Raw genomic sequence first — 18892 nt, 5'->3', positions numbered from 1 at the left:
CATTTACTGAGTCCTGCAAAAGGTGTTTAGTTCACATCCACCTTCTGAAGAAGCCAGTAATATCTCTACTTGACAAATTGTGAGGCTAAGGCTCAAAGAGGTTCTGTCATTTAAGTGATGTCATAAAACCAAGAAGTTGGTCATTTGGGATTTGAGTGTGTTCTCTGTCTTATCTATGTCTCAGGTGAGACATAGCTTGCATTTATATAGTACTTTTCAAAGCATTTTTCTTATACTGTCTTTAAACTTCATCTGTGAGGCAGACGTCAATTGCCACATTTTACAAATACAATTACAGAGGCTCGGGACTCTTTTGCCCAGAAAGACACAGCCAGTAAGCAGCAAAACAAATCTGGGTCATGGAGCTCAGGTCTCAGGACCTCTCTAGTGCACCCGTGTGTCCTAACCAGAAGGGGCTGAGTCATTGGTGTCCTGAAACCAGTCAGGAGCAGTTAGTTTATTTCAGAGAATCATCTAGTCAGAAAAAAAAATTTAAGACTTACTTTTATTTTTTCTAAATTATTAAATAATGGAATCTCCTTGCAGAAAATTTGGAAAACATACAAAGGAGAAAAATAAAAATCATCTGTAATACCACCCCCCAGAAATAATCACAAGTATTAATTTGATACATTTCTTTCCAGTGTTTATGATACAGATATGCATCCATACTGTATTTTTAGAAAAGTATTTTTAGAAAATGCATGTCATATATAGTTTAATATGCTGGTTTTCTAATTAACATTGGATGATGAATATTTTCCCAGGTCATTAAGTAATCTTAAGAAACTGCCTCATGTATCATAATATTGCATGAATGTAACCGTAATTTAGTGAAACATTATTCACTTACTGTTGAACATAATTGTTCCTGGTTATAAGCCTGTACATAATGCTGCAACTTTGGTATCTAAACACAAAATTTTTATTTCCAACAGCAGTGGATGAGAGGGGCAATTTCTCCATTTTGAGTGTTTTTAAGACTTTTGCAAGATGGATAGGTAGAAACAAATTCTTCTTTGAATTTGCATTTTACAGATTACAGCCACACTGAATATGTTTTCCCATGTTTACTTTGCCAGCCGTTCTTGTCCCCATGCAGTTCCACGTTTGTTTATATGCTAACACAGTACTCAGAGACCCAGCAGTAGGTACCAAGATAATCAGCTGTTACAGTAATTGCCAGAACCCCCGAGTCTGGGAACTGCCAGCACCAGAACATAAGCACCTCTAGGCAGGAATTCCATCTTATTCATCTTTGTAGTCCCCATTCCTGGTTCTAAGCCAGACACTTGCCAAGTTTTCAATACATTTGTTGAAAATATTACAATAGACCATATATTCTGATTTTGGCCTTCTAACTTGCTCTGTGACTTTCGACAAGTTCTCTCACCTCTCTGTGCCTCCATGTCTTCCACTATAAATGAATGGAAGTGTGATATGCCATACTTTGTGAGCAAAGTGCTAGAGCAGTGGTACAATTCCCATACAAAAGGTCTCTATGGGTGGGTCCATGTCACCTAGGCAGGATTCCTTTCCTTCTGCAATACAGAGAGTGAACTCTGTGTGTATTTGATATTTGGATTTGTGATCCCTTCCCACCTTTCATACTGATGTACTATAGCTAAAGCAAATTTCTTTTGTTTCTCTTTATATCCCCAGAGTGCACACTGCATGGCACATAGGAAGTCTCTAAAAGGAGCGAACAAATGAATGACTGAAGTCATTAAAGATGAAGGGATGAGTAAATGAAATATTAGAGCTGAAGGAGATTTTACAAATCTAATTTTAGAGTTCTTCTTGGTTACCATTTTATTTTTGTAGACACAGCTATACAGATTGACGGTCCCTTATCCAAAATGCTTGGAACCAGAAGTGTTTTGGATTGCAGATTTTTTTGTTTGGACTTTGAAATATCTACATATACATATATAATGATAGGTCTTGGGGATTAGACCCCAAGTCTCAACATCAAGTTTATTTATGTTTCATATACACATAGTCTGAAGGTGATTTTATACAATATTTTTGTTAATTTTTTGTATAAAACAAAGTTTTGGCTGCAATTTGACTGAGAACTGTCACATGAGGTCAGGTGTGGAATTTTTCATCTATGGCATCATGTCCGTGCTCAAAACGTTTTGGATTTTGGAGCATTTCAGATTTTGGGTTTTCAGATTAGGGATGCTCAACCTGTATTAGCATCTCCACCTTAGAAGCACTTGCTAGAATAAACTTAAATCATTTAAATAAGATAAATTTCAATAACTAGCCAGGGAAATTTAATTTCATAAAAATGTTTCCATATTAAAACATTTTTGTTCATTTTTGTTTTGTTTTGTTATTGGCCATGGTCTTAATATATATTTACATATATTAGAAGTATAGAGTTGTCACTTTTAGAGGGAACATACCATGTATGAAGGAATGATTAAATTAGAAATTGTTTTTTCAGGTGAACTTTGCCACCATATCAAAAAAATGTAAAGTTATTTCAGTTTCCGAAACTAATTTAAATGAGTACTTAATGATGTCAATGAAAAATGGAAAGTATGAATTGTGTCTTCTTTGAGGATCTTTTTCTTTAAAAGATGAACATGATTATTTTAACCTGCTAAATGTATATTTTTAAATGTTTCACTACTTGGTATAATAATACAATATTTCTAAAATGACAAAATGATAATTTTAGCTAAGCCAGTGTAAGGAAATTAAAATATTTACTTATAGAACTCACTCAGAACTTTTTTTGTATCACTTATTTATGCAATTAAAAAGAACAGATACTTTTTATGCTTTTCTCAATTCCTAAATTAGTTCTCTGGTTAGAACAAAATAGTGCCAAGGAAAAGATTTTTTTCTCTTCAACTTTTATTTTAAATTCTGGGGTACATATGCCGAATGTGCAGGTTTGTTTCGTAGGTAAGCATGTGCCATGGTGATTTGCTGCACAGATCAACCCATCACCTGAATATTAAGTCCAGCATCCACTAGCTATTCTTCCTGATGCTCTCCCTCCCGCTGCACCCCCGGCAGGCCCCAGTGTGTGTTGTTCCCCACCATGTGTCCATATGTTCTTAGAAAAAGATATTTTTAAAATAATTTCAGAAGTCATTATTTCAATTTCAATAGCCATTGATGCAATCACTTGTGTAGGTTCTTAATATATTAATTAAAACATTGACTAACATGTTATTTTTTTAATTTCCTAGAATTGTTATTGTGGATCATAACTGCTAAATATTTCAAATATAATCAGTTACACTTTTTAGCAATTAAAAATTTACCCCAATGCTTAGTATTAAGAACACTTAAAAGAAAATAGCTCGACATGGCATATGATGTATTGGGATCTATTATAACATTTTCAAACCAGGTACATGACAAAGTTACCTTATATACCTGGTTATTAGAAAAGAAAAACTCAATTCTAAAATGATGCCATTACGGTTAAATTTAAATTATATATTTGAAATTAAATTACAAATGTTTTAAAGAAAGCCCATACATTTTAATTTTATATTTTAAAACATGTAATAGCTTTACTACACATTAGATTTTCTTAGAAGTGCTATGTTTGTGGAGTTAAATTCCTGCTTCATGAATGAGACATTGCTTTTTCCTGGATGCAATATTTTCTTTTATCTTTCGGATGATATTAAAAATAGGTTTTATTTAATGTAACTTAAAACATACAAAAGATATAGAATAATATAGCAAACACCAGTAGACCCAAAATGCAGCTTAAGAAATAAAACATCACATACTCAAAGTTCTCTGAATACACATCCCAGTTACTTTCCTTCCTGCCAACCTCCCAGACTCAGGGATACCAAACACAGCCAAGGACAAGCATGGCGTACAGAGTGAAAATGGAGGAGCTGTGCAAATGGCTGTACTAGGCCCCTCATCAAGTTGATTTCCCTGTTTTTCCCATGTTGAGTCTGGAGGATAGCTAAAATGTATTGCCTTATAGATTTGGTAGACGAGTATGAATCCTTAAAGCAATGGTCCCAACCTTTTTGGCACCAGGGACCAGTTTCGTGGAAGACAGTTTTTCCACAGACCGAGGTTGGGGCTTAGGGGTGTGGTGAGGATGGTTTTGCGATGAAACTGTTCCACCTCAGATCATCAGGCATTAGATTCTCATAAGGAATACACAACCTAGATCCCTCACATGCACAGTTCACAATAGGGTTCCTGCTCCTGTGAGAATCTAATGCCACCACTGATCTGACAGGAGACAAAGCTCAGGCAGTAATGCTCACTCACCCTTTGCCCACCTCCTGCTGTGCAGCCTGGTTCTTAACAGGCCACAGACTGGTACTGGTCCACAGCCCAGGGACTGGGGACCCCTGCCTTAAAGTAGATATAGTAAAGTTGTTGCATGTATTTATTCAAAGCTTGTTAACTTTGTATAGTATCTTAATGAATGTGGTCCCCTGTAATTTGCTTTCCTTAAGTCAATATTATATTTATGAAGTGTATCTGTATTGAGATACTTAGCTCTAAGTCATTCATTTTAAGTGATTTTGGCATTCAAATTATATGAATAGTCTATAATTAATCTATCCATTCTCATTTGGTGAATGATTAGATTTTTTCTAGGTTTTTTTTTTTTTTTTTTTTTTTTGCTACTAACAAGCAATGCTGCTATGAATAATCTGTGCATCTCTCCTAGTGACATGTACAAGAATTTCTCTGAGACAAATCCCTACAAGCAGAATTGCTGGGTTTCACGTGGGTTTAGCTTCAAGTTTGCTAGATATTGCCAAATTATATTTCAGATTGGGTTGTATCAATTACAGTTTTTCTTCTTAAGATTTTTAATGATTTCTGTTTTCTCCAATACTTTTTTTCTTATTCAGTTGTTTGGTTGATGTTTGTGGGTTTTTGTCTTGACTTTCATTGTGAGGGCTTTCCTCAAGTGTCTGGTAAAAGGCAAGCCAATCATATTCCAAAGCCCAAAAGAGCCTTTGGAAGTCCTGTGTGAGTAATGGAGGCATGGGACAGGTGTGAACTGTGGGCTTCACTCTATTACAGGGTTTCTTTACAGTGGCACTACTGACATTTGGGGCTGGATAATTCATTGTTGTGAGGGCTGTTTTGTTGTTCTTTGCATTATAGGATGTTTAGCAGCTTCCCTAGCCTCTACCCACTAGATGCCAGTAGCACCATGCCCCTCCAGTTATGGAAATCAAAAATGTCTCTAACCCCTGGGGAAGCCCACCCCCGCCCCATTCCAGTTAGAACTGCTGCTCTAGGATAAATATATGGCTGGCCGGCCTTTTTATTTGCCCCAAATTTAAATCCCCAACGGCCTTCTCTCTGGGGTCATTTGCTTCTCCCCAGCTCCCATCTTTGCCGGAGGAAAAAGAAAAAAACAGGGAAATCAACTTGATGAGGGGCCTAGTACAGCAATTTGCACAGTTCCTCCATTTTCACTCTGTATGCCATGCTTGCCCTTGGCTGTGTTTGGTATCTCTGAGTCCAAGCCTCCTAGTTTAAATTCTGCAGATGCTCAGCCTCCTGTCTCCATAGGGTAGTCTCACTTGCCTGAATGCTGTGGGAAACAAGGATTTGTATTCTTTTACCTCTGTAACTAATATTGCCATGAAGTTTATCTTTGTGCATATCTGAACTCTTTATGATAAATTCCTAAAGTGAATTTTAAAATATGTGCAATTGACATGCATTTCTCCGTATATGAATTTTAACCCTTGATGCATATTATACCTAATAATCTAATCACAGTTCTTTTTTTCTTTGGGCAGCATTTACATTTAGAAAGTCTTTCGCCTGCTAGTTTCCCTGTAGCCTTTTCTTTATCAGAGAATAAAAGTAAAATAAATTATAAGTCCTCGATAGAATTTTAGAAAAAAATATTTTGTTTTCCTCTTCTCCGGTTAACAAATTATTTAGAAAAAATATTAGAGAGGAAATCTTCCATTAGTGAGAGAACAAATACTTACATAAATGTAATCTGTAATAACCTTGATTTAGGACTTTCCTTGTATAAAATACCTTTTATTAAAGCGTTTAAACTGAGTGGGAAGTGATTGAGCCAATTGCTAAGATAATATTATGATATCTTTACCCTATCTGTTGAGATTTCATCATTTATTATTTTCCTGTGCAAATAGGTAATTATTTTCCTAATCTTTAAAAGCATGTTTATTTAGAATGAACAGTGTAAGATTTGGGATTTTTTTTTTTAGAGAATCCTAGTTAACCATGTTTTAATTGGCAACTCTGTTTTAGTTGAACTAATTAATTTTGTCTTAGCAGTGAGAATTTGAAAATTATAATTTGAAGAGGATTTAACATACATTTTCATCTTCTAAGAAAGTTTCTATTGACCATTTTTCCTCCCCCAACCTATCTGTTTTTTAGATATTTATCTTGCTTGTGGGAAATAACCAAAAACTTAATTTAATTCTAGTTAATGAACAAAGACAGGTAAAAAGAAAGAAAAAGAAAGGAAAGAAGAAAGGGAAGAAGTTATTTTTAAAAAATAAATAAATAAATAAAGAGTGCCTCGGAAATCACCTTTATAAAAATCAAACTCATCTTTTCCCAACACTGTCTTCTGTACATGAGAAGCATCTTAAAAACAAAATGAAACTGACCTTTTAGGAGGGACAGGGAAGATGACTTTAGTGCTTATCAGTCTTGTCGATGTCCTTTTCTTATTTTTGTCCTCTAAATGTACTTGATTGGAAAAAACACCGTTTTTAAATCTCTTTATATTGAAGATATATAAAGAGTAAGAGTTTAGGTATATAAAGGCAATGCTTTCATCTAGTGATTTCTTGTCCTTGGTTTTAGACAGGGCCATCAACAACTGAAAAGGAAATCATTACTTCCTGTAGCAAAATTAAAATTAAAAATTAATAAACTAGTAAACAGTCATGGTGCACCTACCATGGACCAAATCCTTTGCCAACAGGCTGCATTCATATATAGACAAATGAATGATCAGAGACCTGGTTACACAGATAGACAAACCATTGATGGATATTTGGGTTGGTTCCAAGTCTTTGCTATTGTGAATAGTGCCACAATAAACATACATGTGCGTGTGTCTTTATAGCAGCATGATTTATAATCCTTTGGGTATATGCACACCAACATGGCACATGTATACATATGTAACAAACCTGCACATTGTGCACATGTACCCTGGAACTTAAAGAATAATAATAATAAAAATAAATAAGTAAATAAATAAAAGATAGACAAACCAACACTTTCATGGATGTTACCTCATTTTATGCTCACAAATGCCCTATCAGTCAATAATGTCCCCATTTTATGGACAGAAACACAACCTGTTAGAAGTTATGTGGTTAAGTGACTTGCCTAAGGTCAAATGGCTAACAAGTATGTATTTTTTGGATCTGAAGCTGATGAGTAAAGCTTGAAAAATGAGACAATTTGCTAATTGTAAACGTTTGGTCATTAATCAACATTCATTCATCTAACAAATTTTTATCGAGCACTTCCTATGTACTGAGCATTTTGCTAGGTGCTGGGAGACTACATGACTAATATAAAGTCCCTGCCCTCAAAGAGCTTACATTTGGTGGAGGAAGGAGACAATAAACACAGCAAATAAGAATGTGATGCATAGTGACAAGTGCTAGGAAGAAAAATAAAGCAGGCTGAGTGAATAAAGAGTGATTATTGGAAGGATGAGAAACCATTACTCCACCTGAAGTCACAAAATAAATAAAGCATCTTTTCTTTGCAATTCAAAGAGAAGGCCGTGTTTCATGTTTTACTGCTGGCATATTTTATCCACAGTGAAGCTAAACATGAAATTTAAAGACCAAAAAAAACTAATAAGGTGGCTTCAATTTTGTCGTATGGTATTACAGTCCATCTTCAAACAATATCTAAATTACAGTCTATTTTTTCTAGCATGAATCAAAAGAAAATCTAGTGAGGTCATTATTAGTGTCTGTAAAATTCTAGTGGAAAAAAACCTGTAGAAATCTGTCTTTGAAAGTCTGTTCCCAGAGTTCAAGTGGCAACTGTTTTGTGACTTGACAACATAGTTCATGGCTTTTAAAGATACATGACTTGTTCTGCTTAATGTGGTTTCCTGATAAGCCTTGAGAGAATTTTTTAAATTATACTTTTAGTTATGCATACATAATTGCCATTCATCTATGACATAAGTATGACATTTGGTATCTACTGCTTTTACAGATAGGTTAATGCAGTGAACTCCTTGGTCATTCTTTAGCCCTTTCTGAAGACAGGAGGTAACAATAATATACTTACCTCTTGTTAAAAGCTCCACATTTGACCATTTTACTCATTTTTATAATTCCAGTGTTTGCTTGCAAACAATCTTCCCTTGTAGTATAAAGGCATTGGAGTGCCCTGAGCAGAGGGGAGGGGTAGAGCTTTCAGGAAAGCAGTGATGAAACTGATATCCCTGGACAATATCAGCATCTCAAGGGAAGCAACTTTTATCCTCATCCTTGTTCTTGACTTGAACTCCAGTCCTTGTCCTATATACTAGTGTTGCCCAATGAGTGGAATCCAGTACTGTGACATTTGAAAAGATTTTAGGTGGTACCACAAACATTTTTAATGATTATATGCTTATTTTAACATATACTAGGAAAGTATATAACTGGTTCTGTACTTTTAACCAGAGAAATAAACCCATTTCTCAAAAGTTATTGCTTAGAAGCAACGAGGAAGTGAAAGAAAAGTGAGTCCTTTAAACTACTCTTAAAGTACTAGGTTAATAATCGCAGAGATAGAACCCAGCTATGGCAAAACCATGATGGTAGTGCATGGATGACTGAGGGCAAATGAACACAACCATCACTGTGGTCTTCAGTCACCTTGAGCCCTGCTTTTCCAAAGATTGATTCCCTATGGTCCTTTTCTTCATTTTCTGATAGCCTCTTCTCTTCACATCTCTTTTCTGCCCATGGGAGATTTCACAGCCTGGCCCTGTCCTGTGGGAGCCCCACTAGTGTGAGTCTCAGGGGGCTGGCATGTGGCTACACTGTGCATTGTTCAATCCTTGGAGGCCTTTGTCTATTGAACTTCCTTTTTTGGTTGAGGTAGTTAAAGACCCTTCCAAAGTTTCCCTTACATGCAGGTGCATCCTATATTTGTGAGGGCTCTTCTCATCCTTTCTTGTTCACACCTTCAAAGGAGGATGTTTCAGTGTTGCCAGTGGACTAAAATTGAGTGGAACACCTTGTGCTGGACGTCTGGGGCCTGAAATTATCTTGGGCAGCTTCAAAGGTTTTCATTATTTAACTAATTATCATATGAACCTGTTGTTTGAATGTGACACTGTCTTTTTCTTTTGCCAATACACATTCTCTCTCTGTCTCTCTCTCTGTCTCTCTCTCTCTCTCTCACACGCACACACACAATACGCCTCCCTTAGTGGTGGCTGTACTACTCCAGCTGATCCACTTTTCCATTCTATCGAAATCCACTGTGTACTGTGCACATTCATTATTCAGCATCAGGTGTAATCTAGTGAATTATAGGGGAAAAGGATTTGGAACCAGACTGAATATATAAAAGCCTACAGAATCACTTGTGTTCATTTATGCAAAAAGGAAAAAAGAGAAAAGCCACAGTAGTTTATGAAACTGAATTGTCCAGTAGCTACAGAATGGCTAGATCTAAGGAGGCCTCAGGCAGTACCATTTGGCCTTTACCTCTTTCTGTGTGTCTTCTGCATTCAACTTTGCTTTTCTGTCAGTTAGTTCTATTCTCAGGCAGGTTCCTTGTACAGTAAACAAGAAAGCCACCAGTAGATCTTAGCTTACATCTCATCAGCTTACCATCCCCAGAGGAAAGACAACCCCTGTTTCCAGTGCTTCCTCCAACAGTCTCAGCATTTCACCAGTTTGAGTCAAGTATCCAGCTTCTTACCAGTCCCTGCAAGCCCTACAGCCCAGAGGTGGGGCCTACTTACTGAATGAGCCTGAGTCATGCATCCTCGTGAAGCCGAGGGTGGGATCCATCCCCTACTAAATCAAACGGACCCACAGTAGGAGAAAGGGTGTATTAGTCAGAGCTCTCCAGAGAAATAGAACCAATAGGAGAAGTGTGTGTGTGTATGCATGCGCGTGTGTGTGTGTTTGTATAAAGCTACATGTATAAAGCTACAGAGAGAGAGAGATTTACTATAAGATATTAGGTTATTGCTCACACAATTATGGAGTCTGAGAAATCACATGATCTGGCATCTACAAGCTGTAGAGCCAGAAAAGCTGGTGTCTGTCTGGAAATTCGAAAAGCCTAAGAATTGGAGCACTGAGGGCAGTAAAAGATCAAGGTTCCAGCTCTGTCCTCTGCCTTTTTATTCTGTTCAGGCACTCAGTAGTTTGGATGATGCATACCCACATTGGAGAGGGCTATCTGCTTTACTCAGCCTGCCAACTCATTGCTAATCTCTTGCAGAAACACCCTTACAGACACACGCAGAAGTAATGTTTAACCAGCTATCTGGGCATCCCTTGGCCCAGTCAATTTTATGTATCACTTAAAATTAACCCAAACAGAGAGAGCCTCTAAGACACTTGAGATGCTATTTTAAAAAGAGGAGAGGTAGGTGCTGGGCAGGAGAAAATATCAGATCCAGGTGAGGGCCTTACACATTGGACATGGCCAGAAGTGGAGGCCATTGTTTATGATGAAGATTATATTAGATGTGCCACACTGACAAGCCCTTTCCCCAGCATGTCAATGGGCCTGTGGCATTTATTCCCTGCAAACTGTAATAAACATGACGTCATCTATCACACTCCCGTACTCTGTAGGAAAATGAATATTCTGAGCATTAGTCAGACATGTTGAAAGAAGTGCCCAATAATTCCTTAATATCCAAAATGCTTTCAGCAGCTCCCCTTACTAGTCAGAATATCAAATCATAGGAGCTGTATCAATCTTATTGAGACTAAATTGAGTTAACTAAGAATATGGCCTTTTGAGAAAAGCTCAAAACAGCAGAATTGTAGAATAAATGGCTGATTTATTTGCTCTTTTTTTCCTTCTTCGGGAGTCCTGGTGTAACCACTACACTTCTCCGTGGAGAAGCGCACTGGCTAAGGAGCCAAGAAAGCTGTACCATTTACAACTTAGGCCACTTAATTCACTTCACTCAGCCTCAGTTACCTTATCTGTAAAATGGCAATGATGATATTTGTCATATTGAAAATGTGATGAAATAATAAAAGTAAAACAACTAGGAAAATAGCTGGGGATTAAAGCAATGCTTAATATGCTGGTTTTTCTCTCAGCAAAGGGACTTTCATTATAAATTTAGAGTTTTGATAAATGTATATTAATCTGTTTCATAGAATCTAAAGTTTCATGTTTGGGTAAAATTTGGACTGAGGTAATATATATTGTGTACTCAATAACAATTTGAGCTTAACACTATGAGACTGTATTTATTCAAGTAACAGACTAAAAGAATTTAAATTCTGGTATCTCTGAGCATGACATGCAGGGACATGCAAAATAAGAGGCATTCCTCTGGCTTAGGGAAAGACATGTATGTTGGGGCCACATAAGAAACTTATATCAGTAAAATAATATTCAAAAATTTCTGCAAATGCACTCCTAGTGCATTTCCTAAATGAAAGCTATTCACCAGCAACACATTCTGCTTTGCGTCCTTAAAATGAAGATAAAAACAAAACTCATTCTAAGGAAATTTTCTTTCTAATCAACTTAACTGAAATGCAGCTTTTTTCTTTTTCTTTGTTTGTTTATTTGTTTTTCTTCTATGCAACTCTTTTAAAAAAGTAAACTTTCCTACAGCTTTTCCGTATACCCCAGTGACTACTTGGAATCACTTTTAGGTTTTGTGTTCAAACAAAGATTAACAAATGTGTAGTAAGTCTACCAAATGATACCCAGCTTTCTATCGGCACCATTTTCATGTTTTCTCATTGTACTTTGCCACAATACAATGAGGGAGATGTTATTCTCTCATTTTGCAATCAAAGAAACTGAGGCTCTGGAGAAGTTATATGATGTGCCTAAAGCCACACAATCAGTAATCCATAAAGCCAGGATTATCAAGTCCTGTTTTCTAAATCCAGGGCTCTTTTCGCAGGGTATTAGTAACATATTCTAAACTAAAATATTTTATTTTGCACATTTAATAGCACCTTACTTCAAGATTTATACAAGCTACAAGCTGAACAAATTGATTTGCAGGTTATTTTTAGAAATCATTTCACCCATCACTGAGAGGAGCCTTCACAGAGCTTTTCGAAAGCATACAAAAATATTGCCTGGCAGTTTAATGAAATGGTAAAAGAAGAGAGATAAATTACTGGAAAGTACAGAGTGTTTATGCATAAACACTAGAAGACACACATGGGGCAAAGGGATGACTCCCCACTGAACTGCCTTGTCTGAATTAACATTTAAGTAACGCAAGCACCTTTGTCATTGCCTGGATCCTGAGGGGTCACAGCACCTGACTGGAGCATTTGTCACCCAAATTATAGGGTTCAAATCCAATCCTAATGACTTGGGGTGCTAATCAAGACAGCTGAAAGTAGTAACTGGTAGGAATCTGATTTGGACTCAAGGAGGAATGCAAAGGTCAAAGCCAGAGAGCAAGTAAGTACCAAAGTCAAGTGTAAAGGTAAAACCCCAAACAGGAAAGTGGTCCTATGATCCCAAAGTTGGAAGCTCAAGAAGAAGTTGAGAAACACGGCGTGGAACACATTGGTACAATGTTTCAGAATGAGGAATGTGAACGGTGTGAGGAAGTCAGGAAACATTTTCCGTCATAGCTATGGCCTGATATGTGGGACCACCCAAATGGACAAAGGAATTTGTCTGTTTGCTCCCTAATTGATTTCACCTTCGAGTCTATCACACGAATTCCTACAGAGTTTCATAATGGCTCATAAACTTTAAGTAACTTGAGGACTATGTACACAAGGGGTGAGTAACATGCCATTTTATACATTACATACCCCAAACACAGTGAACTTGTTCCGTTTTGTTTTTTGATTTTTATTTTAGGTTCGGGGAACATGTGCAGATTTGTTAGATACATAAATTGTGTGTCATGGGTTTGGTGTACAGATTATGTTGTCACCCAGGTAATAAGCATAGTACCCAATAGGTAGCTTTTTGATCCTCACCCTCCTCTCATTCTCCACCCTTAAGTAGGCCCTGGTGTTTATTGTTCCCTTCTTTGTGTCTATGTGTACTCAATGTTTAGCTTGAACTTATAAGTGAGAACATGTGGTATTTGGTTTTCTGTTCCCGTGTTCACATAGGATTATGGTCTCCAGCTCCATCTATGTTGCTGCAAAGGACATTATCTCATTCTTTTTTATGGCTGCATGGTATTCCATGGTGTACATGTATCACATTTTCTTTAGCCAGCCTACTGTTGAAGGGCATTTAGGTTTATTCCATGTCTTTGCTGTTGTGAATAGTGTTGCAATGAACATACACATGTGTATTAGTTCATGCTCATGCTGCCAATAAAGACATACCCAAGGCTGGGTAATTTATAAAGAAAGGAGGTTTAATTGACTCACAGTTCAGCATGGCTGGGGAGGCCTTGGAAAACTTATAATCATGGTGGAAGAGGAAGCAAACATGTCCTTCTTCACATGACGGCAGGAAGGAGAAGTGCTGAGCAAAGGGAAGAAAGCCCCTTATAAAACCATTAGATCTTGTGAGAACTCACTATCATGAGAACAGCATGAAGGTAACCGCCCCATGATTAAATTACCTCCCATGGGCTCCCTCCCGCAAGACGTGGAGATTATGGAAACTACAACTCAAGATGAGATTTGGGTGGGGACATAGGCAAACCATATCAATGTACATGTGTCTTTATGGTAGAATGATTTATATTACTTTAGGTATATAGCCAGTATTGGAATTGCTGGGTCAAATGTTACTTCTGTTTTAAGTTCTTTGAAAAATCACTTCACTGCTTTCCACAGTGGCTGAACTAATTAACATTTCCACCAACAGTGTCTAAGCATTCCCTTCACTCTGCAACCTCACCAGCATGTTATTTTTTACTTTTTATAATAGCCATTATGACTGGCTTGAGATGGTATCCCACTGTGGTTTTGATTTGCATTTCTCTAATGATTAATGATGTTGAGCATTTTTTCATATGCTTCTTGGCCATGTGTATGTCTTCTTTTGAAAAGTGTCTGTTCATGTCCTTTGCCCACTTTTTAATAGGGTTGTTTTTTGCTTGTTAATTTAAGTTCCTTATAGATTCTGGATATTATACCTTTGTTGAATGCTTAGTTTGTGAATATTTTTCCCATTATGTAGGTTGTCTGTTTACTCTGTTGATAGTGTGTTTTGCTGTGCAGAAACTCTTTAGTTTAATTAGGTCCAATTTGTCCATTTTTGTTTTTGTTGCATTTGTTTTTGGCATCTTCATCATGAAATGTTTGCCAAGTCCAATGTCCAGACAGTATTTCCTAGATTATCTTCCAGAGTTTTTATAGTTTTTGGTTTTACATTTGTCTTTAATTCATCTTTAGTTGATTTTTGTGTATGGAGTAAGGAAGGGACCCAGTTTCAGTCTTCTGCATATGGCTAACCAGTTATCCAAGCACCATTTTTTGAATAGGGAGTCTTTTCCCCCATTGCTTGTTTTTTGTTGACTTTGTTGAATATCAGATGGTTTGGGGGTGGCTTTATTTCTGGGTTCTCTATTGTGTTCCATAGGTCTATGTGTCCATAGATCTATGTGTTTTTGTATCAGTACCATTCTGTGTTGGTTACTGTAGCCTTGTAGTATAGTTTGAAGTTAGATAACATGATGCCTCCAGCTTTGTTCTTTTTACTTAGGATTGCCTTGGCTATTTGAGCTCCTTTTTGGTTCCATATAATTTTTAAGATAGCTTTTTCTAATTCTGTGAAGAATGTCATTGGTAATTTGATAAGAATAGCATTAAATCTGTAAATTGCTTTGGGCAGTATGGCCATTTCAACAATATTGATTCTTCCAATCAATGAGCATGGAATGTTTTTCCATTTGTTTGTGTCATCTATGATTTCTTTGAGCAATGTTTTGTAATTCTCATTGTAGAGATCTTTCACCTCTCTGGTTAGCTGTGTTCCTAGGTATTTTCTTCTCTTTGTGGCTATTATGAATGGGATTGTGTTGTTGATTTGGCTCTCAGCTTAGACATTGTTGGTGTTTAGAAATGCTGGTGATTTTTAGCATGCTCCAGTGGCGCAGTCAGTTAGCATGCAGTACTTATACAGAAATGCTAGTGATTTTTGTACATTAATTTTTATCCTGAAACTTTGCTGGAGTTATTTATCAGATATAGGAACTTTTGGAGAGAGGGTGTTGTTTTCCAGGTGTAGAATTATATCATCTGCAAACAAAGATAGTTTGAGTTCCTGTCTTCCTATTTGGATGCCTTTTATTTCTTTCTCTTGCCTGCTTGCTCTGGCTAGGAATATTAGTACCATGTTGAACAGGAGTGGTAAGAGTAGGCATCCTTCTCCTCAAAACATAGTGAATTTGTTAACCCAACCAAGAACCAGATATGAACTCACCTCTGCAATGCTGCCATCTTGTCATCTGGGTTGCGTTTTCCAGGTTTCTTATATACCTACTTTCTTCACAATTTGTCTTTCGTAATGAAAGACCCAAATTCCAGATATCAACAAGTCTAGATGAAACTCACTACCCTGAAACCCTTAAAATGTTCAAGGGTCACCTTTGCCTGTCAGATAGACTGGGGTTTCCCCTTCCTTAGTTATTTGGTGCTGTTATGCTCACTTGTAGTGTGGGTCTTTAAGGTACTGCTCTCCCCAGCCACATGTCCTGAATGCTTCAGGAAAAGCACTCCATCTCTCTTTGATCATCACGGAAACTAGTTTTGATCATGTTGATCAAAAAGAGCATCATCAAGAGTCCTGAATGGAAGTTTGCTTTAAGGATGTTACCCTAGTTCTAGAAGAAGAACTTCCTTGAAGAGGAAAGAGGATGTCCTTCAGTGCAGCAGCCTGATTTCCAATGGGGGAAGGGATTCTTGCCTCTTTTAGAACAAACCACATCGTCCAAGGAGGACTGTCTGTCTCTTTCCCAGGCCTCAGAAATTTGAATGAAATGTCACAAAACAGTAAAAAAAAGTTGGAGCTTATTGGCCCTGCAGGGGCATCCTGAAAAGATTGCCCATCAGTTCCTGCTGCCTGGTCCCCTAGAGCACCCTGTGTCTACTGTTTTTAAACCCAATTCTTGATTTTCTTTCAATCCAGTGAGTTCCCCATTCCTTACAATAAATTGCCCTTTCCAAATTAAGCAGGAAGTTTCTTTTGCTTGTAACCATAGTATTCCAAGGGCTACTCCCCAGGAGGGGAGATGGTGAAAAGCCAGACACAGGGAGGAACTGCCAGGAAGTAAGAGAAACAAAAAGAGGTGTGGAGCCCCTGGGCCCAGGACCGGTAACCATGAAATCACCAACAGCTTTTTTAAGTGTTTCCTCCCCGCCTCAAAAAAATAATGTTTTTAAATGCTCCCATCTCAGCACAAGAAAGCTGTTCTAGCTATATAAAATTTCAGTTCTGCTTATGCTTAGCTAGATTTTCATCACGTGGTATAGCGGTCCTTGCTAATTCAGAAGCTCTGGTTGAAAGCCTCCATTTAAAATAAGTGGGAAAATGAACTAAATATTGTTGTGTTAGTGAGGTTTGGTTGAACACACATTTCATGAAAAAATAAATTTATGTTTCTTGGAAACTGAAAAAAAAAAAAAAGTTCAGAGCACAATTTCCAGGCAGGACACTGAATGTGAAATGAAGATCACCTGATCACAATGGCTAGGTGTGGTCAGACCAAATGCCCATCACCTTTTCTGGACTCTTCCATTTCCATAAAGACAATGAGCTCCTCCATCTTTCAAGATACCGCTCAACATCCATGTAATCTCCCAGAAACCTATGCTGAGGCAATAGTTCCTTTCCCTTTGCTTCAGTAGCACTCTAGGAGCAAAGACCTGTGTTTCCTGCTATCAGTTTTATAATTGTTCAGGTTCATCCTTCTGTCCCACTAAACTGCATCTTGCCTGTGGGGGATTTGCTTTCAGAGTTTTACCTCGCCGCACTTACAGCGTCTAGCATACAGTAAGTGTTCAATAGTTAATGTACTGTCCTTTCAAAGGATTTCATAGTAAACCTTTCCCTCCTCTCCCTTTGGCAAATGCCCTGCACTGAAATTTTGCATCAGCATTATGCTAGGAATGAAATTTGTGTAGCTGATTTTTCACGGTGGGTCCCTAGCTTTACTGCACTCATAATGTGTATTTTTTACTCTAAACCTTTTTTGAAACAGCTGCTTTCAGTTTTGTTTTGTTTTTTAATCCATCTCACTCTGAGACAGTACAGCTAATCAATACATGAAGTAAAAAGAATGGAAAATGGATGTAAGTCATGACTTTTCTGGGGTTTCCCTTTGGCCCTACCTTCAAAAATTTTCCACCTCTTCCATAACTTGCTTAGAATAAAGACAAATTAGTTTTCATGATGAATGTATTTTAATATCAACTAAATACATCTGTTTAATCCCAAATTAAAGATGCCATGATATTTCCTATGGATATTTCTTACAGTACGTTTGTGTATTTAGAGGTCACCTCTACTTAACGCTGTGTTTCTCCTGCTCCCTGTATTATTGCTGTGTCACACTATATAATGTAGTGGTTATACTTTGCCATGGAAACAGGCCTTTCCTCAGGGTTTTCTGCATACCATGGCCACAGAGATTGAGATGTTCCACTTCTGTGGTTTGGTGTTGAAGTTTTTCCCCTTTACTATTTTAGTTAAAATTTACAGAAGGGGAAAAGAGCTCTGAAGGTGAGGGTTGCTATTGCTGGCATCTTTATTCCTGCTACTATCCATTAGCAATTTAATTTAAGGTAATGTTTCTCCCGGTTGGGCTTACAGAAGGGCCCAGGTTGTATTCTCAGTTATTGTACTTCTGTATGCAACCGTCTACTATCAGCACCAAAACAAACATTCAATGTCATTTCACGTGTGCTGCCTTAGACATTGAGACTCTTACTCCTGGCCCAGGGAACATTTGTGGATGTTCATCACTGCAGGTGAGCATTGTTATAGTTAGAATCTTAGCTCTGGAAAAAATGTTCACATAAAGCACATCCATGATGCAAGATAATGAGTTTCAGAGGCTCTCTAGGTCCCAGTTCCCATTAACCCATGGCAGAGAGAACTGCATAAGAAATGTCAACGTAAAATCAAGCTAGCAAATTTGGACAGAAGAAAGGACGATCAATCACCCTGGCAGAACCCATCAATCAGTTCCTATTTCTGTTACATGAAGGAGTTGTTTCTGCAAACTAGTGTTTGTTACACCTCTCTCAAATATTCTGCGAACATAATATACTGCTTCTTAGATAAAGGTTAATTGAATGAGTCTCTAGAGAATGAAAGCAAATGATTTTGCCACTCACTAATCTATAGATCCTCAATATGTCTCTGAAATGCTCATGTTAACTAAGAACAAAGATGACAGCCAAGCCTGCTAATGTTCTACTAGTGGGCTCTATTATTGCCCACTGCTTTATTTTTATGGATTGTGCTGCATAAAGAATGTTTTTCCTCCAAAACCTTTTTTAGCTGAGCAGTATGAACCAGGGGCAAAGAAGATGGAGACATGGAAATCCCAGGGAGACCCAGTTCCTCCACAGGACCGTGGGTGGTTTGCTTTCTGCACTGCCCCCACACCTCAACTGGGTTAGGCTAGGGATTACAGCAGGGAACAAAAGAGACAATGTTCCCTGCCCTTGTGGAGATTACATTCTGGAAGAGGGAGCCATAGTATAAACAAAATAAGTAAATGAGATAGGATGTTAGT

At 37.5% G+C, this 18892-nt stretch overlaps 1 protein-coding gene across 5 annotated transcripts in view, besides 1 other annotated feature; it reads left to right on the top strand.

Annotated features, from left to right (window-relative positions):
• The window catches only part of SLC24A2 (solute carrier family 24 member 2), an 800438-nt gene that overhangs the window by 607580 nt on the left and 173966 nt on the right, over positions 1 to 18892 (top strand). The window lies entirely within an intron of this gene.
• Positions 827 to 1513: an enhancer, noted in NCBI's record as "OCT4-NANOG hESC enhancer chr9:19698798-19699484 (GRCh37/hg19 assembly coordinates)". NCBI's record gives its function as "activates a minimal SCP1, AML or CMV promoter by ChIP-STARR-seq in primed H9 embryonic stem cells {active_cell/tissue: H9 hESC(primed)}" and the evidence as "EXISTENCE:reporter gene assay evidence [ECO:0000049][PMID:30033119]".

The sequence above is a fragment of the Homo sapiens genome, chromosome 9, assembly GCF_000001405.40.
Source record: "Homo sapiens chromosome 9, GRCh38.p14 Primary Assembly".
Classification (NCBI taxonomy): domain Eukaryota; kingdom Metazoa; phylum Chordata; class Mammalia; order Primates; family Hominidae; genus Homo; species Homo sapiens.
Note: the sequence above shows the minus strand (reverse complement) of the source record. Positions and strands in the feature narration are given on the sequence as shown.